The sequence below is a fragment of the Homo sapiens genome, chromosome 19 (genome assembly GCF_000001405.40).
Source record: "Homo sapiens chromosome 19, GRCh38.p14 Primary Assembly".
Lineage (NCBI taxonomy): Eukaryota > Metazoa > Chordata > Mammalia > Primates > Hominidae > Homo > Homo sapiens.
In genome coordinates, this window is record NC_000019.10 from 40,591,915 (window position 1) to 40,616,135 (window position 24,221).

The window sequence follows — 24,221 nt, forward strand, 5'->3', positions numbered from 1 at the left end:
TTCTTTTTTAAAGTCTCACTCTGTCATCCAGGCTGGAGTGTAGTGGTATGATCTCAGCTCACTGCAACCTCCACCTCCCGGGTTCAAGCAATCGCAATCCTCCTGCATCAGCCTCCCGAGTAGCTGGGATTACAGGTGTGCACCACCATGCCCAGCTAATTTTTTTATTTTTAGTAGAGACAGAGTTTCACCATATTGGCCAGGCTGGTCTCGAACTCCTGACCTCAGGTGATCTGCCCACCTCAGCCTCCCAAAGTGCTGGGATTACAGGCGAGAGCCACTGTGTCCGGCCCAGAATATCTTTTTATCTCCTAACTTCACTTACCTCTGGAATACATCTTCAATCAGGTTTTCTCTCTGTGGCAAGGTGACTCTAAGCAGCTGCTTAGCAACTCTTTCTTCCCTAGCAACAGCAAAAATCACAAGACTGATTTTCATTGGCTTGAATTAAGTCAGGTGGCCATTCCTGAACCAATTACTGTGGCCAGTGTGATGAAGGCCTTCCATTATTGCAGCCTGGATCATGTGTCCTGCTGTATTTTTAGTAGAGGCAGGGTTTCACCATGTTGGCCAGGCTGGTCTCAAACTCCTGACCTCAGATGATCCACCTAACTCGGCCTCCCAGAGTGCTGGGATTACAGGCGTGAGCCACCTTTCCTGGCTGGCCTTGGGATTTTTTTTCCCCAAATAATGCCCGTTCCTACGGCACTTCCTTGAGGAGATTTTCTGCATCTTTTTTCCTTGTGCCAATAAAAAAGGGACAGAAAGTGGGGACAGACTAGGAGTAGAGAATACTAGAACATGCTAATTCTAGAATTCCATAGTTTCTGGAATGCCAGAGCTTCTGAAACATAGTAGAGAGGGGTCTCGAACATTAGGACATCTCGGACACAAGGATATTCTGGAGTGCTCATGGATTAACAATATTAGAGTTCTCCCCTGCTTATCAGAGAATCCAGAATATAGAAGTTTCTGACAAAAAGGACCTGAAAAATCACTGATTCTAGAATAGGGGAGTGTCAAGGGGAGTTCATACCCATGAATCTCCACCGGTAGGAATATCTTGCATGCCAGGATGTCTGGAATGCTGAGAATTATAGGATACAGAAAGGAACCTGGATTACTAGGAAATCTAGAGAATGGGAGAGATCCTGGACTATCCGCCCTTCCAGAGCACTGGAAGGTTTGTTTGCGTTCCAAGAAATCCATAATGGCAGGAGATTCCGGATTATCAGAGAATCTGGAACACAAATGGGAGACGTAAAAGGTGAGTGCCTCTGAAACCGGGGTGTTCTGAAATAGCTGTGCACCTCAAACCCTAATTTTGTTTTTGTTTGTTTGTTTTTGAGACAGGGTCTTGCTTTGTTGCCCGGGCTAGGGTGCAGTGGTGCAATCATGGCTCACTGCAGCCTCGGCCTTCTGGGCTCAAGTGATCCTCCTGCCTCAGCCTCCTGAGTATTTGGGACTACAGGTGTGTGCCACCACAGCCAGCTACTTTTTAAGTTTTTTTGTAGAGACATTGTCTCACTATGTTGCCCAGGCTGGTCTCAAACTCCTGGGCTCAAGCCATTCTCCTGCCTTAGCCTCCCAAAGTGCTGGGATTACAGGTGTGAGCTACCATGCCCAGCCTCACACTCTAGAAAATTTTTTACATGCCAGGATATTCAGAATATTGGGGGATATTGGCATGTTAGGAAATCTAGTATGTAGGGGGAGGGCCTGGAAGGTCAGGAAATCTAGAATATGGTGGTGTTTTGTAATGCTCACAGATCTAGAATATTAGAGTCATTTTTTTTTCCAGGCCGGAGAATCCAGAACGCTCGTGTTGCTGAAATGCTGGTCATTCTATTCTTATTTCATGTTTAAATTTTTATTATTTTCTTTATTTCTTTTTTTTGAGACAGGGTCTTTCTCTGTTGCCCGGGTTGGAGTGCAGTGGTGTGATCTCAGCTCACCTCAACCTCTGCCTCCCGGGTTCAAGTGATCCTCCCACCTTAGCCTCTTGAGTAGCCGGGATTACAGGCGTGCGCCACCATGCCTGGATAATTTTTGTATTCTTAGTAGAGACAGGGTTTCACTGTGTTGGCCAGGCTGGCCTGAAACTCCTGACCTCAAGTGATCTGCCCTCCCACCTCGGCCTCCCAAAGTGCTGGGATTACAGACGTGAGCCGGCCTTATTCTGGGGGAGGGGGTGGGGGGGGAGAGAGAGAGAGGGAGAGAGAGAGGAGAATTTGGGATGTTAGCAAATCTAGAACACTGAAGAGCTGGGTTTTTTAAATGCTAGAGATAGTATTATCCTAGTATAGTATTAACTCTGTGTGTTTTTGTGCGTGAGAGGGCATGGGGGGAGGGGTGGAAGATTCTGGAATGCGGGGGGACTAGAACTCTGAGGGATTCTGAAGGGTTGAGATGAGTTAGGATTCAAGAGGTGACATAGACACGATCCTGGGAGATAGTGACACTGATGGGAGGGATGGGGAGCTGGGGACTCCAAATTCTAGGGGGAGGGGAGGCTAACGCCGGAAGTTGCAGTGGTGAGCCAGAGGATGTTGCCTAGCAACAAGCATTGAAGATGCGCTGGATCCCGGACAGAAGGGAGAAATTTCAGCAGCGCCCCCAGCAAATGCTCCAGCCACAGGGTAGGAGGTGGTGAGGGGGGAAGCGGGTAGGGATATGCTGTCCTGCAGGGTCATGTGAGCAGGGGTCTTGGGGGTTATACAAAAACAGGGTCATGGAGTACAGTCATGGGGCAGAGCCGGGCTCTGGGACAGCCCACGAATAGCTGTGAATGGAGTGTGAGTGCCGTCGTCACCTGCCCCAGGGACTGTGTGTCCCTGGACGGTGCTGGACCCAGATTTCTGGGTGTCAGTGTGGGATGGAGGCATGGATTGCTGTAGGTGGCAGTAATGGTGTGTAGCCGTGTGAGTCAGCCTGTGTGTCTCACAGTGAGCGGGGGTGAAGGGCTTCCCCGTCAGTCCTGCACACCCTCCTGGATTGGAAGAAGGAGCAGGAGTGGGGGGTGGGGGGTGCAACTGGATCAGTTGCCATTCTTGGTCTGGGGTGGGCTCTGTGGTCACGGCGTGTGGCCTAGTACCCTGTGTGGGTGGAGCCTGGGATCCACGAGGTGGGGGCGGGGCTAACGCTACAGAACTGGGAAGCTTAAGAATCCAACTGCTTTGGGATATGGGGCCTGGAACCCCAAAGCGAAGCAAACATGAAAGGGGTGGGCTTGGGATCCTACATGTGGTCACGTCCCAGTTTTCTGTGGGAAAGGGTGTGGCCTGAAACTCTGGAAAAAGAGGTGATTAGGGGCAGAGTGAAGCTCTGAGGGTGGTGCCTTAGGGAGAGAAGGGGCTTGTATTTCAGAGAATATAGGGTGGAGCCTTGAATTTATAATGATCTTCTCAAAGAATTGATCCCTTCTCAAGGCCCTAGGCTTCAGGGGTTCCAGGCTCACCATCTGCAAAAGCTTGCTCCCCGAAGCTCTGTCCCTCAGTGAACCCAGCCAGGCTCTGCCCCTGACCCACAGGATCTGCTCCCAGGGGGTCCTGGGGGCTCCTGGCTCTGCCCCCTCCTGCACCTCACTTATTGCCATCCCCAGAGGGTATCAGACCCCCTTCCTTGCCTGAGTCTTTGAATGCTCCCAAGAGCTTTGAGTCTCAAGCTGGGCTTGAGACCCTGAGTTTGAAGGCTTGAAGCCTGGAACCCCGGTGTGGACGGGGTTTAAGGGCCCCTGTGGCTTGCAGCTCCTAGTGGTGGAGACTCTTAGGCAAGGAAGGGATCGGTACTCTCTTTTATATAGTTTTATGTATTTATTTATTATTGAGATAGGGTCTCACTCTATCGTCCAGGCTGGAGTGCAGTGCAGTGCAGTGGTGCCATCTCAACTCACTGCAGCCTCCACTTACCAGGCTCAAGTGATCCTCCTACCTCATCCTCCCGAGTAGCTGGGACTACTGGCTCATGCCACCATACCCGGCTAATTTTTGGATTTTTTTTTTTTTTTTTTTTTTTTTTTTTTTTTGAGACAGAGTCTTGCTCTGTCGCCCAGGCTAGAGTGCAGTGGTGTGATCTTGGCTCACTGCAACCTCCACCTCCTGGGTTCAAACGATTCTCCTGCCTCAGCCTCCCGAGTCGCTGGGATTACAGGCGCCCACCACTGCACCCAGCTAATTTTTGTATTTTTTAGTAGAGATGGGGTTTCACCATCTTGGCCAGGCTGGTCTCGAACTCCTGACCTCATGATCCACCCGCCTCGGCCTCCCAAAGTGCTGGGATTACAGGCATGAGCCACCGCGCCCGGCCTAATTTTTGGATTTTTAATAGAGATGGGGTCCTATGTTGTACTATGTTGCTCAGGCTCACCTCAAACTCCTGGACTCAAGCGATCCACCTCGGCCTTCCAAAGTGCTGGGATTACAGGCCCGCGCCAGGGCACCTAGCCGGAACTGGGAACTCTCTAAGGAGAAAGTCTGCAATTCTGGGTGGTGGGAGGCTGCTCTTGGGAGCATTCAAAGACTCAGGCAAGGAAGGGGGTCTGATACCCTCTGGGGGCGGCGATAAGTGGGGTGCAGGAGGGGGCAGAGCCAGGAGCACCCTGGGAGCAGAGTTTGTGGATCAGGGGCAGAGCCTGGCTGGGTTCACTGAGGGACAGAGCTTCGGGGAGCAAGCTTTTGCAGATGGTGAGCCTGGAATCCCTGAAGCCCAGGGTCTTGAGAAGAGATCAATTCTTTGAGAAGATCCAATGTGAACTTGGGACCCTCAGAGGGGCAGGACCTGGGGGCTGGTGCAGGGTTGGTGCTCCATTTGCAGAATCCTCAGTCTCTCTCGTGGAAAGGGGTACCCGTGGGGGGCTTCCAGCTTCTACGCCAGCGAGGGAGCTAAATTCTGACCGAATTCTCCCAGAACTGGGAGCAGAGAGCTGAGGACTGCCAGATGGAGTCCAGCTTAGGGGACCCTGCCCCCAACCCCGCTCCCGTATCCCTCCCATTTTTAAGCACCCCTACGCCTGGGACCTCTGTTCCACGAGAAGGTTCACGGAGCCAGTATCCGAGTCCTAATTTCCCCCCACCGCGTGGGGAACTCGAGGTCCCCCGCGCCCCTAGTCCGGCACCTGTCCCTGCTGCCTCCTGATTGGCCGCGCGGCGAGCGCTGGCGGCGCCGGGCTGTGATTGGCGGGAAGTTCGCAGCCCGTGGCTGGACTGTGGAGAAAGTGAGTCGGCCTCGGGCGGGGGCGGGGGCGGGGGCAGGGGCGGGGCCGGGGCTAGCCTGACCCGCTGGACAGACCGCCCGCCCGGAGCGGGACTCGGCGCCCGACACGATGCCGAGGCCTGGCACCAGCGGCCGCCGCCCCCTCCTGCTGGTGCTGTTGCTGCCGCTCTTCGCAGCCGCCACCTCCGCCGCCAGCCCCAGCCCCAGCCCCAGCCAGGTCGTCGAGGTCCCGGGGGTCCCCAGCCGCCCGGCCAGGTAAGCCCCCTGCTTCCTTGTGCCCCTTCCACCCAATAAGTCTGGTGGTCCAGGAGGACCACGGCTTTCGGATTCAGGGGAAACTCGAACCCACTGCTTCGATGTGGAGATGCAAAGAGGGCCCTTGGATTTATTAGGCGCCCTCAATTTGTAGGGGTTAGATTCGGGGAGTACTGAGATTTTTAGGGGAAAGAGTCCCCTTTATTGTGGTGGAGAAGGCTAAGTCTCCAGAGAATCCTGGGGTTAGTTCGGGGAAAGGTCTCTAGTTTATTGGGGCAGGGGGTGGGGGGCTGAGCTCTCCTAGAATGATAGAGACGTGTGGGGTCTTCGAGCTAGGATGGAGCGCCCCAAGTTTCTTGGGCGCGTAAGGAGGAAAGGTGTTGGGGGATTCTGGAGGGACTTTATGAGGCCGCTGAGTTGTCCTGGTTTTCTAGGATTTGGGGGCTCTGTGTTCATGAAAAGCGACCTTTGGGTTTTTCGAATTGGTCAGGAAGACATAGACTCTTGCGTTGATGGTGGAGGGGCTTGTGGGGAGTGGGGTCGGGTGGGGGAGTCCTCAGGCTTCAGAACGGTTGGGGATGCTCAAGTTTCCTAGAATTAGAGGACTCTGGGATTGAATGAGGCTCCAGTGATTTCACCGCGAGAGATCCAGGATTCCCTATAGATCTGGGGGCTATAGGCGCCCTTCCTGTCTGCGGGTGACGGGACTGAAGGAAGCCGTCTGCCCAGCACCCCCACCCACCCTCCCCGCCTGGCGGCCCAGCGCTCCGTTACAAAGGCCCCGGGCTCCTCTCCCGCCTGGGTCTCTGCGAATGCGTTTAGTAACCCGAGCCGCGGCGGGGGCGGGGCCGGGAAGGGGTTAACCTGGAGAAAAGGCGGGAGGGATGACGGCAAGATCGGGGATCCCCGAGGCTCCCCACCAGATGGCCTCATCCTCCACTCGGCCCCACCCACCTGAGAGGGGCCCACGCGCTGGACACCCCCCTCTCTGCACCCCCCCACTGCTCTCCTCTCGGGGTCTGGGCGCGCGCCCTCGTCTCTAGACCCCCTTAGCCTGGGGATAATGGACTTGTCTGGGGGGCCCCTTCATTGCGACGCACTTGAACCGGAGCTGGAAGCTCCGCCACTGAGACCCTCTGGGCTGGGAGATGTCTGCAAGAACGGCACCTTTCTCCTGGTCAGGCGGGAAACTGAGGCCCAAAGACCAAGAAACGCTGGCTTCTGGACACACATCGTGGAAGGGCAAGAACGGGCTAGAACTCAGGCTCTGGGATTCTCAGTCCTGGACTGTGACTCCCGTTATCCCCCTCCACCTCAGCACCCTGCTGGACCCACAGTCAGAGGGAAGAGCCTTCCCTCCCCAGCTGCCGAGGCCTGTGAAAATGGCGCCACCTGTCGGCCAGGCTCAGGATGGCGTCTGAGTCCCGGACCGGGATGTGCGGGAGGGCGGGGTTCTAGATTCCCAGACAGTGCGGGCTTAGAAATGCTCTTAGAAATCGAGTCTTTTGTTTTTGTTTTTGTTTTTTAATCACTTTTAAAAGGCTTTAAAATAACGTATTTTTTCAATAAAATCGTACGCCAAAATCTCTTCATAAGACAAAAGTACGGTTTCTGTGCCCTTCAGCCCGAAGTCTAAGCCAATTTGCCTCCCATTGTACAGATGGAGAAACTGAGGCGTGGGGAGAAGAACCTCGTTAGTCATATACCTGTTTCAAGCCCCCTCAGGATGCGTCTTGGTTTCCCCTCCCCGATTGCCCTCCTTTGCAGAGTTCTGGGGTGCTAGGGGCCTGAGTGACTTCCACTCCACTATTTATAGCGTTGCTGTTTGTCGCTGCTGCCCGGGCCAGACGTCTAGGAGGAGCCGCTGCATCCGAGGTGGGTTCTGGAAGATGGAGTATGAGTAGGGGGCAAAAGGGAATAGGAGGAGAGGGGCAGGGAGCTCCCCATCCCTCCCCTCATCCCAGTGGGAGAGCTGGATGCATTTGGTAGAGAAGTACTTGGTCCCCTCCTTCCCCACTTAGTCCCTGGCTGTCTCCGAAGCCTTCTGCAGGGTCCGAAGCTGCCAGCCCAAAAAGTGTGCAGGCCCCCAGCGGTGCCTGAACCCAGTGCCTGCAGTGCCCAGTCCCAGCCCCAGCGTGAGGAAGAGACAGGTGTCCCTCAACTGGCAGCCACTGACGTGAGTGGGCAGTCCCTCCCCTACCAAATCCTCCCTCAGGAACTCCTAGCTTTGCCCCCGTTTCCGCTCCTCCTCCCTTCCCCTCTCCCTCTCTCTCCCCCCTCCCTCCCCGGCTCTTTCTTTTGCTATCAGCCTGTCTGTCCGTTTCTATTTCATCCCTTGCCTGCCTATCTCAGGCTCTTCCCATCTCTGCATTATTTCTGTCTCTTTCTGTTTCTTTCTAGTTACCTGTCTCTTTTCCTCTCTCTCTTTCTCCCTGTGTCTCACTGCCTGCCTCTATGTCTAAGTCTCTCTGCCCCTTCTCTCTTTCTCTCCCCCAACCCCCATCATCTCTCTTTCTCTCAGGGTCTTTGTTTCTCTCCCACTAGAGGCCTGGTCCCCATAAATAGGTGTTGTGGGGGGAGGGTTGGGCAGAGCCGCTACTGAAAGACATTTTCCTGGCATGGAGGCCCTTTGGTGGGGAGGTCAGTTTAACCCGGTGACAGCAGCTTTTCCGTCCTCTCCCACCCAGGCTCCAGGAGGCCAGAGCTCTACTGAAGCGGCGGCGGCCCCGGGGGCCAGGGGGCCGGGGACTACTGAGAAGGAGGCCCCCACAGCGTGCCCCCGCTGGCAAGGCCCCGGGTAAGCACATCCGCCTTTCCTCCGCCTGGGGCGAGGGGGGTTCCGGGCCAGATAAAGCCGTCTGGTTCCCACGGTCCAGCCGCCGCCTACCCGCCCCCCGTTGTAGCTCAGCACCCACCCCCAGGACGAGGCCCCCTCTAGGGACCCCAGCGTCCGGCCGTGCGAGGTGAGCCCGGGACAGGACCAGACACAGGCCAGAGGCACTGACCCGCGGGGGTGGGGCCGGGAAGCCAGGCGTCCGGGCTCCCCGCGGCCGAAGAGGGAGGGCGCTGGCCCGTTAGAAAGCTCCGCCGAACCAGCCCAGACAACAAAAGCGATTGTGCGGGTTGGCGCCTGCCTGGGCACCAAATGCTCAAGATTGTGGGGCGGCTGGGGGCCAAAGGCCTCCTCCTGTTTCCCGAATCTTCCCCCTGCCCTCCTCCCGCTCCAGCTCTTGACCCCTAGTCTAGAACACCCCTCATCTCAAACACCCTCAAAACCCTCCTCTTGCTGTAGCCTTCAGCCCAGATGTGACCCCTCCCCCTAAAGTCTTCCAGATGTGAGCCTCGGGCCAGATGTTAGTACCCCCGCCCACAGCCTCCCTTTATCCATTGTGACTTCTCCCGCCAGGTGTGGCGTTCTGGCCAGATGTGGCTACATCTTCACATGTATCCCCCCCACCTCCAGCCTCCTGCCCAGGATCTAGACGCCCAATTCCTTTATGTGCCCAGGTGTAGCGACCCTTCTCCCATCCCTCAGATGTCCCACCTGGCTGTCCAGATGTACCATGATAGCCCCCTATCAAGATGAAGCCCCTTTCTCTGTGCCCCGGGCAGAAGAGGATCAACTCTTAGCTGTCTCCCCAAATGTGGCCCCCACTACTCTTAATGGATTTCCTCTTTATGGATTCAGCTCTGTCTGGGGGGAAACCCGCCCGCCCCCACCTGTTCCCTTCCCCGCCGCTCCCCTACAGGCCCGGTCCACTTGTTGGTGCGCGGATGGGGACAGAGGGGGCGCCCCGCTCACCCCTGCGAGTCTAGCGCCCAGCCTGCGAGCCTCTGGCTAAGCGCCCAGCCCCACGCGCCCCCGCGCGGCCGCCGGGGAGGGAGTGGTGAGGAGGGGGGGCCTGAGCGGGGGCGCGGGCGACCTCCCCCGCGGGCGGGCGGGCGGGTGCGGCCGGGCCCCTCGGGCGGGCTGGGGCGGCGGCGCGGCGGAGCGCGGCGCTGCAGCCATGGCGGGCGGCGTGCGGCTGCTCTGGGTGTCGCTATTGGTGCTGCTGGCGCAGCTAGGGCCGCAGCCTGGACTGGGCCGGCTCGGAGAGCGTCTCCGCGTGCGCTTCACCCCGGTCGTGTGCGGCCTGCGCTGCGTCCATGGGCCGACCGGCTCCCGCTGTACCCCGACCTGCGCGCCCCGCAACGCCACCAGCGTGGACAGCGGCGCTCCCGGCGGGGCGGCCCCGGGGGGACCCGGCTTCCGCGCCTGTGAGTGCGGGGTGGTGGTCCCGAGAGAGCGGCTCCGGGGGGGAGGAGGATCCCTGGGGATGGAGGAGACAGTCCTCCAGGGAGAGGGAGCCCAGATTCCATATGCAATAGTGCAAGGGAATATCAGGGGCTATTTGAGGAAGGGGGCCCCAAATTCCTGGCTTTTGGGGTTGGGTCCTGAGGGTTCCGATTTTGCAAGCAATGAGGGTTCTTAGAGGCCTGTGATGTCCCACGTGAGGGAATTGGCGCCAGCTTTCATGCTTTGCGTCAAAATGGGGATCTCAGAATTGAGGGGCCTGAGAACTTTTGGGAGGGGGGCTCGAATTCTGAGACGCTGAGTAAGGAGTCCCCGGGGACCAAGCAAGAGTCTCAGGACCGCATGGGGGACGTCTCAGTTTCTGTGTGTTTGGGTGGGAAGGTTCTGTATGGGAATGCCTGTGAGGTGGGGTACTAGAGAGAAGAAAGTTAATCCGAAGAACTAAGAGGGAGAGGGGACAGAGACGGGGGTTGTGTGTGTGTGTGTGTGTGTGTGTGTGTGTGTGTGTGGCGGCGGGGGTGGGGTGGGGGTGTCTCCGCAGGACCTGAGTTGCAGGGGTCCCACGTGCGACAGAAATCCAGATAAGAGGGCTTACGGAAGGGGCGCCCCCTGGGGGCGGAGGGGACAGGAGGTGTATGCACCAGGCACTCCTAGAGATGGGGAGCCTTGGGGGTTCAGGTGAGGTGGGGGAGGGCGCACCACCTGTTGTTCCAGGATGCAAAAGTGGGCAGACTCTCTGGGATCGGGCCTTCCTGCCCCCTACCCCGCAGACCCTATGGAGTGGGGAGTGGGGGCCCCTGGAGCGGAGAACTCGCCCAGCCTGGCCCCCAGCCAGCCCAGCCCGGCCGGCGTGAGCTCATCTCCCGCCTGAGCCCCCGCCCGCTGCCACTCCCTCTCTCCTCCCCTTCCTCCCTCTTTCTTTCACTCTTTCCCGGCCCAGCCCCAACGTGCCTGTGCCAGGCGCCATGCCCAGGCGGGTGCCAAGCCCTTGGGGGTGCAAGGAGTGGCATGTGAAGTGGGGGCTGACCTCAAAGGGACCCCTATGTCCTCAACTCCCCGCTTGGCCAGGGCTGTGGGGCATGACGTTGGCTGTGGCCATCTAGTGGCCCACCCTGGGTGTAGGCACCCCCAGGGAGCTGGCCTGCGGGCCTGCATTCAGGCCAAGAGAAGGCAGAGAAATGCCTCTGGAGCCTGGGAAATACCCTCAGACCTGGCTGGTTTCCCACCCCCTCCATCAGAGACCCTTACCATTCTGCAATTTTGATTCCTAGTTAAGCCTCTCCTAGGCCCCACTACTCAATTAAAAGCCCCCATTAGACCACCCTGGAGTCATGGCCCCACACTCCTACCTAAGGGAGCTGAGTTTTTGCTCCAGGCCCTAGACCCGCTCTCCAACCATGGCAACAGACTTTAGAGACCACTCCTCCAGTGAAATTCCCTCTCATTCTTCCCTCCCACCTCCCAAACTGTGCCTTTCCCCAGATAACTCTGTAGTATTGTCCAGAAGTCCTGTTCTTCTAGCTCACCCCCTTCCCCAGGAACTTCTGATCCCATTTATCTTCAGAGAACCCCAGGGTTGGTCTTGATAAGTGGGTTCTCGCAAGAGGACTCCAGACATTGTGCTCCTTACAGGCAGCCATTAATAAAAAGCCTTTGGCACTTAATCCTTAGCTGGGAGGGGAGGGGATTCCACAGAGGGACTCGGCCAATTGAGCCTCTTAAGTGCTGATGACTTCCAGGAATTCCACTTCACTATCTAAACCCTGTTTTCAGCACCGTCAAACTGGTTGTCTCCTAGGCGGCACTAGAGTCCTGTTTTCTAGGTAACTGTCCACAAAAGGACTCCTGCTGAAAGGACGCCTCAGTTTCCTCTGAGCTAGGTTCCTCCATCCCAGAAACCTCCAGCCGTCTTTGAACTCGAGAGGACTGCCCTTTAGTCGATCTCCTCCCAGGACTCCAGTCCCTTTATCCTTCTAAACGGAGGTGGCTCTCTGCGTCCTTTCCTCTCTACAGTTGTGGCTCAGAATCCCACACGCGCCTCCCCCGGCCGCCTGCCTCCTCCCTCCCCTCCGCACAGCTGTCTCCAGCTGTTCTCTGCAGCCCCGGGAGAGAGAGGGAGGGGGTGCCCTCGCAGGACAGCCCGGCCTCCTTTGGCTCAAAGGTCCCGGGGCTCCCCAAGGGTCCGGAATGTGGAGCCTCCGCCCTGCCCCCGCCGCACCTCTCTCTTTGTTTACCCCGCCGCACAGCTGGCAGTGCCCCGCCCAGAGGTGGCCTGGGGCCCAGCGAGGGCGCGCAGAGGGGAGTGGAGGCGCGTTCCCGCTCGTGGCTCCGCCCCGGTGCTACTGGAGGCTGTAAGGCCGAGCTAGAACTCTAAAGCCCCAGCCAGAAAGAAGTTGGGCGGAGACACAGCGCGGTGGGCGGAACTAGGGCACCCGGACAGCCTGGAGGTGGGGTGGGAGGGGCGTGAACAAGTGAGCCGGGCGAATCAGAGTGCGGAAAGGAAGGTGGGAGGGGCTAGAGGCAGCAGGTTAAGCTCCTGGATAGGCGGGGTTTAGAATCCCGCGGGTAGAAGGTAATGTGAGAGGGGCTACAAAGGGGGCACAGCCAGGGGGCGGAGGTAGGACTTCGTGGACCAAGCAGAGGGAGTGTGGGCGGGCATAGAATGCGAAGGAGACAGAGTTGGGCGGGGAGTTATGCCAGGGAGTGGTTAAAATGTGGTTTGAGTCAATGGAAGGGATCAGCATTGGGTCGGAGGGGCTGGAACAGCAAAGGGTTCCGTCGGACTACGGAATGGGCGGGGTCAGCGCCGTCTGGGCTGGTCTGGAACTCCGTGGACTCAGCCAGAAATTGGGATCCGAGAGGTTGACATGAAAGTGAATAAACAGCCTGAGGGCTGGCTGGGCTCACGCCTGTAATCCCAGCACTTTGGGAGACTGAGGCAGAAGGATTGCCTGAGCCCAGGAGTTCAAGACCAGCCTGGCCAACATAGTGAGACCCCGCCTCTACCAAATTTTTAAAAAACGTAGCCCGATGTGGTGCACGCCTGTCGTCTCAGCTACTTAGGAGGCTCAGATGGGAGGATCACTTCAGCTTAGGAGGTCGAGGCTGCAGAGCCATAATCACGCTACTGCATTCCAGCCTGGGCAATAGAGCGAGATCCTGCCGACTTAGTGGGTGGGACCGTACCTCTGATGGCTGAACAACTGGACTGGGCCAATGCTGATGCCAGAATTGGGGCGGGGCCACATGACAGCTAAGGGCGGAGCGACTTAGAAATGAATGATACCTTGAGGGAGTAGGGACCCCAGGAGAACCTGCCAGGAATGGTGGCGCCCCTGAGTGTCCTCGTTCTCCTCCCAGTCCTGTGTCCCTTGATCTGTCACAATGGCGGTGTGTGCGTGAAGCCTGACCGCTGCCTCTGTCCCCCGGACTTCGCTGGCAAGTTCTGCCAGTTGCACTCCTCGGGCGCCCGGCCCCCGGCCCCGGCTGTACCAGGCCTCACCCGCTCCGTGTACACTATGCCACTGGCCAACCACCGCGACGACGAGCACGGTGAGGAAAGGGTGGCCAGAGTCCCCTCCGACCCCTGTCAAGCATTTCACTTTGCCCCTGACCCTCATATTTCCCGCCTTCCCGAGCACCTTTGCCCAGCTCGCCCTCCCCGCCTTGTCTAGCCCCACCCCGTAAGAACCCGTGTAGACATCCGTTTGCCCGGCCGTGCCTCCCCTAGGCGTGGCATCTATGGTGAGCGTCCACGTGGAGCACCCGCAGGAGGCGTCGGTGGTGGTGCACCAGGTGGAGCGTGTGTCTGGCCCTTGGGAGGAGGCGGACGCTGAGGCGGTGGCGCGGGCGGAAGCGGCGGCGCGGGCGGAGGCGGCAGCGCCCTACACGGTGTTGGCACAGAGCGCGCCGCGGGAGGACGGCTACTCAGATGCCTCGGGCTTCGGTTACTGCTTTCGGGAGCTGCGCGGAGGCGAAGTGAGAGGAGGCCCGTGGGGAGGGGCCCGGAGCTTGCCTCCGCGCGGGGGCGCGCTCACCCAACACTTCCCCGCAGTGCGCGTCCCCGCTGCCCGGGCTCCGGACGCAGGAGGTCTGCTGCCGAGGGGCCGGCTTGGCCTGGGGCGTTCACGACTGTCAGCTGTGCTCCGAGCGCCTGGGTAAGCCCCAGGACGTCCCCGAAGTGCTCGGAGCTGGGGAGTGGTGACAACCTCACCGTTCCTCCTACTCTGCCCTAGATAAACCCAGTTCACAAATTGTAGCCACGCCTACCCCATTGTGGAGGCGACTTCCAGTCCTGAGCTTTTCATACCGCTCTGGGACCACCCACCCCATTTTCTGACTTTGGCCACTCTGTTCTCACCCTGCCTTTGTGCCTTGGCCCCCCACCATATACTTTGGGAGTCTCCAATGTTGCCATTTCAACTGCCAACCTAAGGCTGTCCCTGCACTTAAACTACAGCCAACATCTTTTAGTCCCTCCCACCCCGTCTTCGTCTCTGCCCACTCCATTCTCGCTCTGCCCACCTGTCCCTGGCCCACCCCTCTCCTCTCGCCACAGGGAACTCCGAAAGAGTGAGCGCCCCAGATGGACCTTGTCCAACCGGCTTTGAAAGAGTTAATGGGTCCTGCGAAGGTGCAACGGGGCAGGGGTGGGAGGGGCTTGGTTCTGGGGGCGGGATTTGCAGGGATCAAGTTCCTGACTCCACGGTGACCTCCCCAACCCTGGCAGATGTGGATGAGTGCGCGACTGGCGGGCGCTGCCAGCACGGCGAGTGTGCAAACACGCGCGGCGGGTACACGTGTGTGTGCCCCGACGGCTTTCTGCTCGACTCGTCCCGCAGCAGCTGCATCTGTGAGCAACCAGCAGGGAGCTGAGGCTGGGTCCCGCCCTCCCTGCCCTCAGAAGTCCCAGAGCATCCTGGGGCCTTTAATTCCCTCGGACCCCCCCAGACTCCCGGGTTCCTCTGTCAGCCTTAGAGCCCCCTCAGAACTTCTCAGATTCTTATACAGCTTCAGCATCCCTGGACCACCTTTAGACCTTTCAAGCCTTTTGGATCCAGATCCCTCCAGACTCCCAGACTTTTTTTTTTGGAGATGGAGTCTCGCTCTGTCGCCCAGGCTGGAGTGCAGTGGCGCGATCTCGGCTCACTGCAATCTCTGCCTCCTGGTTTCAAGTGATTCTCCTGCCTCGGCCTCCCGAGTAGCTAGAACTACAGGCGGGCACCACCATGCCCGGCTAAATTTTTTTGTATTTTTGGTAGAGACAGGGTTTCGCCACGTTGGCCAGGCTGGCCTCAAACCCCTGGCTTCAAGTGATCTGCCCACCTCAGCCTCCCAAAGTGCTGGGATTACAGGCGTAAGCCACTGCGCCCAGCTCTCCCAGACTTTCTGGAATCCTTCTCAGACCCCCAAATCCTCTCGTCCCCCTCAACGACTCGACTATCTTCAGATCTTGAGATCCTTCTCAGAGTCTCTCATTCACCACTGACACCCCATTGAGGCTCCAAGCCCTTCTCAGACCTCCAGAGCCCACTGCTCTCCTTCAGACCCTCTCAGACCTCTCCCAAATGCCCCTCGCACCCACCAACCCCCCACCCCCAACCCCAGAACCATTCCCCTCTCTCCCAAATCCCTCAGTGCTACAGCATTCCCAGCCCCGCCCTGAAGGATTTCCTCCCTGCTCCTCGCAGCCCAACACGTGATCTCAGAGGCCAAAGGGCCCTGCTTCCGCGTGCTCCGCGACGGCGGCTGTTCGCTGCCCATTCTGCGGAACATCACTAAACAGATCTGCTGCTGCAGCCGCGTAGGCAAGGCCTGGGGCCGGGGCTGCCAGCTCTGCCCACCCTTCGGCTCAGGTGAGCCCCTGCGGCAGTGCCTAGCCCTACGCGCAACACATGTGGCGCTCATTCTACGCCCCACCCTCCAACCCTGAGTTCACTGCCCCAACCTGACTGGCTGGGCTCCAGCCTTGGCCACGCAGCAGCCTCTGAGACCCGCAGGCCTCAGACTGGACAGCATCCATGGCTCCACCTCCATCTGTAGCCACAGCCACCCCTCCATTCGTAGCCACAGCTACCCCGGAGCTCCCAAGTTAGTTTTTGTCTCCTGAGCGTCAACGCCCAGTCCCACCCTGTCCCTGAACTTTGACCAAGTCCTTGGCTTCTGAGACACTGCCTTCAGCTTAGCCCCACCCCAGGCATGCCCCTCCCTGAGACACCTCCCTGGCATTCTATCTTCTGCTTAAAACTAAATCTCACAAGGGAGCTATTTCCTAGCCTCCAACTCTGTCCCTGTAGACCCAACCGGACCCTGCCCTCAACCCTGTTCCTACCACCATCCCAAATGTGGGAAAACGCTCTTGGCCCCACCTGTAGCCTCTAAGACATTCTACTCTTTGGCCAGGACACCACCCCATCCCAGCCTCCAGCTCAAACCCCTGACACTCTCCAGCCAAGCCCTGCCCCTAGCCAAGGCCAGAGTCTGGGCTGGCCATCGTTTTCTTCCCGCTCTCTTGTCCTCTCTCTGTCTCTCTTACCTATTCCCAGAGGGTTTCCGGGAGATCTGCCCGGCTGGTCCTGGTTACCACTACTCGGCCTCCGACCTCCGCTACAACACCAGACCCCTGGGCCAGGAGCCACCCCGAGTGTCACTCAGCCAGCCTCGTACCCTGCCAGCCACCTCTCGGCCATCTGCAGGTGAGCTGGCTCTGGCAGAAGTGGGTGCCATCTTCAAGGGGCTGCCCCAGCCCCATAGTGAAAGGAGGCAAGAGAGGATTTGGGCTCCACTCGTTGATACCCCTTCTTTATCAGGCTTTCTGCCCACCCATCGCCTGGAGCCCCGGCCTGAACCCCGGCCCGATCCCCGGCCCGGCCCTGAGCTTCCCTTGCCCAGCATCCCTGCCTGGACTGGTCCTGAGATTCCTGAATCAGGTTTGCTAGAAAGAACTGAGGGCATTGGGCCTGCAGCAGTGGCTCACGCCTGTAATCCCAGCATTTTGGGAGGCTGAGGAGGGTGGATCACCAGGTCAGGAGTTCGAGACCAGCCTGGCCAACATGGCGAAACCCTGTCTCTACTAAAACTACAAAAATTAACTGGGCGTGGTGGCAGATGCCTGTAATCCCAGCTACTTGGGAGGCTGAGGCAGGAGAATCACTTGAACCCAGGAGGCAGAGGTTGCAGTGAGCTGAGATCGTGCCATTGCACTCCAGCTTGAGCGACACTCCATCTCAAAAAAAAAAAAAAAAAAAGAATTCAGGGCATTGATGGGGGTATTACAGGTGGGATTCTGGGGTAAAAGACTCCAAGGTGAAGATTCCAGGTTACAGCAAATAGGAATGGTATGGGCAGAGATAAGCGTTTGAAGGGTTGGGTGGTAGTTAGATCAGGAGCTGGAGTCACAGTTGGGCTCTTCTGTGTCAATCGAGCAAGCCATTTAACCTCTGAGACTCAGTTTTCTCATTGGTAAAATGGGGATGGTTGTTGAGATGCCTCTGAAGTGTCTGACACCTAGTAAGTGCTCAGATAAATACTTATGGTAGATAATTATTTTTCATTATCTAATATTAGATAATTATTTCTCAGGTAGGGCACTAAGAATGTATCTCAGGCGGAGGGTTGGAGAGCAAACTATTCAAAGCCAGAGACCTTGGGGTGGCATGATGAGGGGATTCGGCCAAGGATCTGATGAGAACGTTCCAGGATAAAAAAGATGGAGATCAGAAGAAGACTGGGCTTGCTTGGGGAGGAGACATCCATGAAGGTGTTTTATGGATGTCTCCGGGGGTGGGGGTTTTACTGGGATGAAAGGAACGGAGGATTCAGAGATGGGGGAACCCTGGCTGACTGGACCCCCCAGGTCCCTCCTCCGGCATGTGTCAGCGCAACCCCCAGGTCTGCGGCCCAGGACGCTGCATTTCCCGGCCCAGCGGCTACACCTGCGCTTGCGACTCTGGCTTCCGGCTCAGCCCCCAGGGCACCCGATGCATTGGTGAGCAAGACGGAGGGCGCGGAAGGAGGCGGGGCGGGGGGCTTTGCCTGGTCACCTTGTCACCAGCCCCCTCCGTGTCCTCAGATGTGGACGAATGTCGCCGCGTGCCCCCGCCCTGTGCTCCCGGGCGCTGCGAGAACTCACCAGGCAGCTTCCGCTGCGTGTGCGGCCCGGGCTTCCGAGCCGGCCCACGGGCTGCGGAATGCCTGGGTGAGAAATTTGCCCCACCCGGCTCCAGGCCCACCCCAGGGTCTCGCTCCTGCTCTCACTCCAGAGCCTCTCCAGCCCTCCCACGCTTCCCCTCTCGGGTCCCGCCCCAGGACTGCTCTGCCCTGGCCCTTGGCCCTGCCCTTCCCTGACCCGCCTCCACCCAGCTCCAGCCTCCCTTTGACCCCACCCCTACCCAGCTCCCAAACTGCCAGTTTCTATCGGGGCCTGGTCGCAACTCGTATTGCTCCGCCCCCACGCCCAGGCCCCGCCCTTATTGGCCACGCCCCTCCCTGACTAACTCCCTCCCCCAGGCCCCGCCACTGTCCTGCAACTGCGGCAACCAATCTCCTGACCGCGACCCCGATTCCAACCCTGCCACACCAGAGCCCTATCCCCAAACTGCTCCTTTCTTCTCTAGCCCCTACCCCACCTTCCCTTAGCTTGGTCCCCAAAGCTCTCCTTTCTGCCCTTGCGCTACCAAACCCTGCCCTCCACAATTGCCTCTCTCACTGTGCCCCTCTCCGGCTGTCCTGGCCGGGTCCCCATCCTGGCTCTGGCCCAAGCTTGGTCCCGCTCCCGCTTCCCTCTACCCCTGCCTCCTTGCGTCGCTTCTCCCGGGGCTGTCTGCCCCAGTCCCAGCCGCCTGGTCTGTGCCTACAGATGTGGACGAGTGCCACCGCGTGCCGCCGCCGTGTGACCTCGGGCGCTGCGAGAACACGCCAGGCAGCTTCCTGTGCGTGTGCCCCGCCGGGTACCAGGCTGCACCGCACGGAGCCAGCTGCCAGGGTGAGGGCCTGGGAGGGGCAGCTGGGAAGGGGTGTGAGCGGTTGGGTAGAGCGCAGTGATGAGGGCCAGAGAGACTGAACAATAGGGCAAAGCGAGTTGATTTGGAGACAGAGGCCAGGCTCTCGAGCAGACGTGTGGCCTGATGGCAGTAGAGAGAGACCTGGGATGCAGAGGCCAAGTGATGGGAAACAGAAAGGCTGAGTCATGAAAGATGGAGAAGCAGAATGAGGAGGGATGGAGATGTCAGTAATCGGGTAAGGGGAGCAGAGTTATGGAGGAAAGGGGAGAAGGAGGCCTTCTCATGGGGACTACAGAGACAGAACCAGCCAGGCAGCTTAGTAGGGATTGGTGGAGGATGCAGAGTCAGATGATGGTGACAAGGAGGAATAGAGATGGGGTCACGGGGACAGAATGTTGGAGGGTGGAAAGCCAAAGTGACAGAGGTCAGGGAGGCAGAGGGGAACAAGTGACCCCGGGCCCCCTGCCCTGTGCAGATGTGGATGAATGCACCCAGAGCCCAGGCCTGTGTGGCCGAGGGGCCTGCAAGAACCTGCCTGGCTCTTTCCGCTGTGTTTGCCCGGCTGGCTTCCGGGGCTCGGCGTGTGAAGAGGATGTGGATGAGTGTGCCCAGGAGCCGCCGCCCTGTGGGCCCGGCCGCTGTGACAACACGGCAGGCTCCTTTCACTGTGCCTGCCCTGCTGGCTTCCGCTCCCGAGGGCCCGGGGCCCCCTGCCAAGGTGAGGGTGCTGAGCCCAGCCCTACTCCATCACTGTTTGCTGTGGAGACTGGAGAGAGATTATTGAGGGGCAGAGAGGCAGAGTGATGGGGCTCAGGGATGGAGAACAGGGGCTGAGGGATGGGGACCTCACTCCAGAGTCTTCTCTCCTTTCAACAAAATAAGGCAGTCCTCCCCACCCCTCCTCCCTTTTTGAAAGATACTCTTGTGCTTATGGGAACCCTGAGGAGGGGGTCACCTGAGGCAGGGCAGGCAACATGGAGTTGGTGCCTTAGCCCCCACCTTAGTAGCTGGAGAGACCATTGAATGGGGACACGAGGAAGGTGTCTGTCTTCCTGGGAAGAGGGAGCAGCCTGAGGCAAGTCCAGAAGGCAGGCTCAAGACTGGAATGCTGGGGTGGGTGGTGATGGCCATGGGAATGGATTCAGGCCCCTTCCTCAGCCTCATTGGTCCCCTCTGCCCCAGATGTGGATGAGTGTGCCCGAAGCCCCCCACCCTGCACCTACGGCCGGTGTGAGAACACAGAAGGCAGCTTCCAGTGTGTCTGCCCCATGGGCTTCCAACCCAACACTGCTGGCTCCGAGTGCGAGGGTGAGGCCGGGGAGGGAGGGAGGAGTGTGGATGGGTGAGGGGGGAGTTGGACCACTTCTTCAAGGCCACCCTCTCCCCTGCCCCCCAGATGTGGATGAGTGTGAGAACCACCTCGCATGCCCTGGGCAGGAGTGTGTGAACTCGCCCGGCTCCTTCCAGTGCAGGACCTGTCCTTCTGGCCACCACCTGCACCGTGGCAGATGCACTGGTGAGACCAGGCCCTGGCTGTGACCTTGGGCCTGCATCATGACCCCCGACCCTTGACCCAGATCACAACTATGACCTGGCCGTAACCTCCTGACCTGGACCTCAGTCCCTCAGTCCCCAGAGCCTGTGACTCCTGACCCTGACCTGGACCACAACTCTTGACCCTGAATGTGACTCCTGAGACCCAACTTGACAGTAACATTTGACCCTAACCATCACCCTTGATGATAGTCCCTGCCCATACCCTGATAGCAATTGTGACCCTCATGACTCTGGCCCTGAATGTGACCTATAACTCCTGAATTTGACTGTGACATTTGACCCTAATCATAACCACTAACCATAGCACTGACCATAACCTTGACTGTGTGACTCTTGGTCCTATCTCTTTCACAGCCCCTGCCTCTTCTCAGAATCCCTTCTCTGGAACCTGGTTGGGTTCATAATCCCTGACCCTGGCCCCTGACTTGAGGCAGAATTCTGGACCCTGACTATAACTTCTGATCCTAACTGGATTCAGATTCCAGTCACTAACTCTGACCCATGGCTCAGCCGAATCCCATCCAATGATCCTAGTTTATAATACTTGACTGGTCCCTTGCCCTAGTTGATTTCTGATCCCTGTCTGATCCCTCTCCTGACTCCAAAATCCTGGCACAGGTAGTTCCTAGAAACCTAGACCCACAGGACTTGCAACCATGGTCCCCGGAACCCGAGAACCTTGGTCAGCCCTACCCACCTCTGCCATAGAGCCCTCCCCCAGCCTCCAACTCATGAGACTTCCCACCACCTCCCCCAGACACCCTACTCCAAGGGGATTGGTCGGGTGTGTCCCGAGACTGGACCCTTTCTGAACACCCCCACCCCCCACAGATGTGGACGAATGCAGTTCGGGTGCCCCTCCCTGTGGTCCCCACGGCCACTGCACTAACACCGAAGGCTCCTTCCGCTGCAGCTGCGCGCCAGGCTACCGGGCGCCGTCGGGTCGGCCCGGGCCCTGCGCAGGTGAGCAGCATAGGGACCCGCCAGAGAGTCTGGGAGTAGGGCCTGGGTTCCAGGGCAAAGCCGGCTGGAAAGGTGGAGGCGGGACCAAGGCGCTGTGGGAGGAGCTTAGAAACCTGGCATTGGTGGGGGCGGGGTTACTGCGATGTGGGCGGAGCTTGTCTGGGAGGCCGGGTCCCGTGACTCCGCCCAATCTCCCGCGTACCCTAGACGTGAACGAGTGCCTGGAGGGCGATTTCTGCTTCCCTCACGGCGAGTGCCTCAACACTGACGGCTCCTTTGCCTGTACTTGTGCCCCTGGCTACCGACCCGGACCCCGCGGAGCCTCTTGCCTCGGTTCGTACCCGGGCTGATCCTGGCCCCGGAAAGGGTGGGCTTAGGGCAGGAAAAGGCGGGACGGGGAGAAGAGGGCGAAAAGGGGAAAACGAGTTTTTAGCCGGGGTATTCCAGCAGGATCAGGGGGCAGCTGGTGGGAGTCTCGAGGCAGTGAGGGGGGGCGGGGCGTGGAGATGAAAGGGCCGAGTCTGGGTATTTGGACCGTGATTGTAAAGAAGCTGTTCTAAACCCGTCGGGGGGCGGTGTTTGCAGGGAGGGAAGTAGCGTGAGGCAGGTTGGGGAAGGCGTGAGAGGCCTAGGAGAGCCGAGGGGCGGTGGAGGGGTGTGGCCTAGAATGTTAGGCGGAGCGGGAGGTGGGCCGGGCCTTCGGACGCCCTGTCCCGCAGACGTTGACGAGTGCAGCGAGGAGGACCTTTGCCAGAGCGGCATCTGTACCAACACCGACGGCTCCTTCGAGTGCATCTGTCCTCCGGGACACCGCGCTGGCCCGGACCTCGCCTCCTGCCTCGGTGAGAGGCCCCGCCCCGGCCTGATCCCTCCTCCCTTCGACTCCCCGACTCGCCGATTGGCCTCCCACCTCTGTCTTTCCTCCTCCGCTTCTCCCCTCCCCTTACCTCTTTCCCCCGCCTCCTCTCCTAGCCTCCCCAACTCTCCTCTACCCCAATCTTCTCCTGCCCTCTCCTCTGCTTCCCCGGCCTCCCCCTTCTGACTCTCCTCTCCCCTCTTTGTATCCCCCATCTTGCCTCCCTGCTTCCCACATCCGACCACCCGACCTCTCTCCTCAGACGTGGACGAATGTCGCGAGCGAGGCCCAGCCCTGTGCGGGTCGCAGCGCTGTGAGAACTCTCCCGGCTCCTACCGCTGTGTCCGGGACTGCGATCCTGGGTACCACGCGGGCCCCGAGGGCACCTGTGACGGTGAGCCTGCCCCCACCCGCCTTCGCTAGCGCTTGCAACGCGGTGCTGGAGGCTGCTCCCTTGGGGACTGAGGAGGGGCGCCCTGCTTCCCAGACTTAGGCGGAGGGAAAGAACACCCTCTCACCGTATCTCTGTAGTGGAAATAAGCCGCCACCGTGTCCATGTATTTTCTTGTGTCAGGATCACGGCCAAGCCTCCCTTCCAGCCGCAGTCCATTCCCCCTCTGCAGCTGAAGCCCGGTCCACATTTTAGGCTATGCCCCCAGTAAGACACCGCCCCAAAACTGTTAGGCCCCGCCCCTTCCAATCGGCCTCTGGATTAAAACCCCCTCTTCAGGCCCCTTCTCTTCCTAACAGAAGTTTGGACGTGCCCTTTCCGCGCCCTCCACCAGTCCTACTTCCAGCCTTCCCTCCAAAGAGGCCCAATCCCGGTGGCCCTAGGCCCCATTCTTTCCCAATGAGAAATTCCCAAGGTGAAATTCTCCTAGCATTGGCCCCCGCCCGTTTAAGCTCTGCCCTTCCTTGGTCTCTCTAGACAGGGCTTTCCATTCGCTCGGATGGCTCCAGTCTCTCGAACACTTAGGCCCTCCCTTCCTATCTTTGCTCCGCCCACAGACCCGCCCCTTGCCTTTTCTTACTTTCCAGGCCTTCCCTCCCGCCCCGCTCTTTCACCCCTCCCGGGTCAGGCTCCAGCGAGGCAGGAGGGTGGGGCTAATCTTCCATACAGTATATATTTTTTTGTGTCGGCGGGGGGGGGGGGGCGGTGATGGTGTGTGAGTCCGCATCTTGTGGAACACATGAAACAAAACATCTGTGGGCTGCCGTTGACTCTGCTAGACCTCTGACTCATGGAAATCTAGCTTCATAAGATCTCATTCATTAATTCCACAAGAATTCACTAAGCACCTACTCTATGCCAGCGTCTGGAAAAGGTAATAAGAGCAACAGGAAATAAGTCATATAAAAACCCCTGCCTTCCTGGAGTTATTGTGGGGTAATAAATATGTAAATAAATTCAAGATTTATACAGCAGGCCAGGAGCTGTGGCTCATGCCTGTAATCCCAGCACTTTGGGAGGCCAAGGCGGATGGATCACGAGGTCAGGAGATCGAGACTAGCCTGGCCAACATGGTGAAACCCCGTCTCTACTAAAAATACAAAAATTAGCTGGGCATGGTGGCATGCGCCTGTAGTCCCAGCTACTCAGGAGACTGAGGCAGGATACTCGCTTGAACCCGGGAGGCGGAGGTGGCAGTTGAGCCGAGATCGCGCCACTGCACTGCAGCCTCGGCGACAGAGTGAGATTGTCTCAAAAAAAAAATTTATACAACAAAAAACTGGGGGGCACCTTACTATATGTTGGGCACTGGAGATGTAGCAAGGAACAAAATAGACACAAATCCCTGCTATTGTAGAGTTTGTATTCTAGAGAGGCGACAGTTGGCATACCAATAAATACATACGTATAACATCAGGTTTAGGAAGGAAAACAAAGCAAGACAAATGGGACAGAGATGACAGAGCAGTGGATGGAGGAGTGCTAGGAGGGCTTGACCTAGACACCAGACAGAAGCGAGGGAGGCAGCCATGCAGAGAGCTGAGGGGAGACTGTTCCTGGCAGAGGGAAGAGCCAGTGCAAAGGCTCTGAGGCAGGACCATGCTTTTGAGAAATGGCAGTGAGGACTTGAGA

The 24,221-nt window shown here is 58.4% G+C and overlaps 1 protein-coding gene across 3 annotated transcripts in view, besides 12 other annotated features; it reads left to right on the plus strand.

Moving 5' to 3' along the window:
* LTBP4 (latent transforming growth factor beta binding protein 4) overlaps positions 1,252-24,221 on the plus strand; it is a 36,655-nt gene continuing 13,685 nt past the window's right edge. The window contains exons 1-22 of one of the 3 annotated variants that reach the window (NM_003573.2): positions 1,252-1,267; positions 7,283-7,341; positions 7,488-7,642; positions 8,154-8,263; positions 13,121-13,312; positions 13,491-13,738; positions 13,815-13,917; positions 14,319-14,393; positions 14,490-14,612; positions 15,451-15,615; positions 16,306-16,455; positions 16,570-16,689; positions 17,616-17,747; positions 17,832-17,957; positions 18,618-18,743; positions 19,238-19,480; positions 19,945-20,070; positions 20,159-20,278; positions 21,151-21,282; positions 21,490-21,615; positions 22,002-22,124; positions 22,401-22,532. In NM_003573.2, coding sequence (NP_003564.2) covers positions 1,252-1,267; positions 7,283-7,341; positions 7,488-7,642; positions 8,154-8,263; positions 13,121-13,312; positions 13,491-13,738; positions 13,815-13,917; positions 14,319-14,393; positions 14,490-14,612; positions 15,451-15,615; positions 16,306-16,455; positions 16,570-16,689; positions 17,616-17,747; positions 17,832-17,957; positions 18,618-18,743; positions 19,238-19,480; positions 19,945-20,070; positions 20,159-20,278; positions 21,151-21,282; positions 21,490-21,615; positions 22,002-22,124; positions 22,401-22,532 — 2,902 coding nt within the window. Of the gene's footprint in view, positions 1,268-5,320; positions 5,467-7,282; positions 7,342-7,487; positions 7,643-8,153; positions 8,264-9,454; positions 9,724-13,120; positions 13,313-13,490; positions 13,739-13,814; positions 13,918-14,318; positions 14,394-14,489; positions 14,613-15,450; positions 15,616-16,305; positions 16,456-16,569; positions 16,690-17,615; positions 17,748-17,831; positions 17,958-18,617; positions 18,744-19,237; positions 19,481-19,944; positions 20,071-20,158; positions 20,279-21,150; positions 21,283-21,489; positions 21,616-22,001; positions 22,125-22,400; positions 22,533-24,221 lie in introns of those variants that run through there. The other 2 variants (NM_001042544.1, NM_001042545.2) reach the window with 2 other exon arrangements.
* Positions 4,989-5,283: a silencer, noted in NCBI's record as "tiled region #6117; HepG2 Repressive DNase unmatched - State 20:ReprD, and K562 Repressive DNase unmatched - State 1:Tss". NCBI's record gives its function as "represses a minimal TATA promoter and a strong SV40 promoter by Sharpr-MPRA in HepG2 and K562 cells {active_cell/tissue: HepG2 | K562}" and the evidence as "EXISTENCE:reporter gene assay evidence [ECO:0000049][PMID:27701403]".
* Positions 6,698-6,757: an enhancer, noted in NCBI's record as "active region_14657". NCBI's record gives its function as "activates an Ori minimal core promoter by ATAC-STARR-seq in GM12878 lymphoblastoid cells {active_cell/tissue: GM12878}" and the evidence as "EXISTENCE:reporter gene assay evidence [ECO:0000049][PMID:35858748]".
* Positions 9,389-9,538: a silencer, noted in NCBI's record as "silent region_10636". NCBI's record gives its function as "represses an Ori minimal core promoter by ATAC-STARR-seq in GM12878 lymphoblastoid cells {active_cell/tissue: GM12878}" and the evidence as "EXISTENCE:reporter gene assay evidence [ECO:0000049][PMID:35858748]".
* Positions 10,720-11,243: an enhancer, noted in NCBI's record as "H3K27ac-H3K4me1 hESC enhancer chr19:41108540-41109063 (GRCh37/hg19 assembly coordinates)". NCBI's record gives its function as "activates a minimal SCP1, AML or CMV promoter by ChIP-STARR-seq in naive H9 embryonic stem cells {active_cell/tissue: H9 hESC(naive)}" and the evidence as "EXISTENCE:reporter gene assay evidence [ECO:0000049][PMID:30033119]".
* Positions 11,732-11,881: a silencer, noted in NCBI's record as "silent region_10637". NCBI's record gives its function as "represses an Ori minimal core promoter by ATAC-STARR-seq in GM12878 lymphoblastoid cells {active_cell/tissue: GM12878}" and the evidence as "EXISTENCE:reporter gene assay evidence [ECO:0000049][PMID:35858748]".
* Positions 12,052-12,111: a silencer, noted in NCBI's record as "silent region_10638". NCBI's record gives its function as "represses an Ori minimal core promoter by ATAC-STARR-seq in GM12878 lymphoblastoid cells {active_cell/tissue: GM12878}" and the evidence as "EXISTENCE:reporter gene assay evidence [ECO:0000049][PMID:35858748]".
* Positions 13,696-13,945: a silencer, noted in NCBI's record as "silent region_10639". NCBI's record gives its function as "represses an Ori minimal core promoter by ATAC-STARR-seq in GM12878 lymphoblastoid cells {active_cell/tissue: GM12878}" and the evidence as "EXISTENCE:reporter gene assay evidence [ECO:0000049][PMID:35858748]".
* Positions 14,309-14,603: an enhancer, noted in NCBI's record as "tiled region #12022; K562 Activating DNase matched - State 4:PromP". NCBI's record gives its function as "activates a minimal TATA promoter and a strong SV40 promoter by Sharpr-MPRA in K562 cells {active_cell/tissue: K562}" and the evidence as "EXISTENCE:reporter gene assay evidence [ECO:0000049][PMID:27701403]".
* Positions 17,940-18,269: a silencer, noted in NCBI's record as "silent region_10640". NCBI's record gives its function as "represses an Ori minimal core promoter by ATAC-STARR-seq in GM12878 lymphoblastoid cells {active_cell/tissue: GM12878}" and the evidence as "EXISTENCE:reporter gene assay evidence [ECO:0000049][PMID:35858748]".
* Positions 18,410-18,489: an enhancer, noted in NCBI's record as "active region_14658". NCBI's record gives its function as "activates an Ori minimal core promoter by ATAC-STARR-seq in GM12878 lymphoblastoid cells {active_cell/tissue: GM12878}" and the evidence as "EXISTENCE:reporter gene assay evidence [ECO:0000049][PMID:35858748]".
* Positions 21,991-22,538: an enhancer, noted in NCBI's record as "H3K27ac-H3K4me1 hESC enhancer chr19:41119811-41120358 (GRCh37/hg19 assembly coordinates)". NCBI's record gives its function as "activates a minimal SCP1, AML or CMV promoter by ChIP-STARR-seq in primed H9 embryonic stem cells {active_cell/tissue: H9 hESC(primed)}" and the evidence as "EXISTENCE:reporter gene assay evidence [ECO:0000049][PMID:30033119]".
* Positions 22,760-23,039: an enhancer, noted in NCBI's record as "active region_14659". NCBI's record gives its function as "activates an Ori minimal core promoter by ATAC-STARR-seq in GM12878 lymphoblastoid cells {active_cell/tissue: GM12878}" and the evidence as "EXISTENCE:reporter gene assay evidence [ECO:0000049][PMID:35858748]".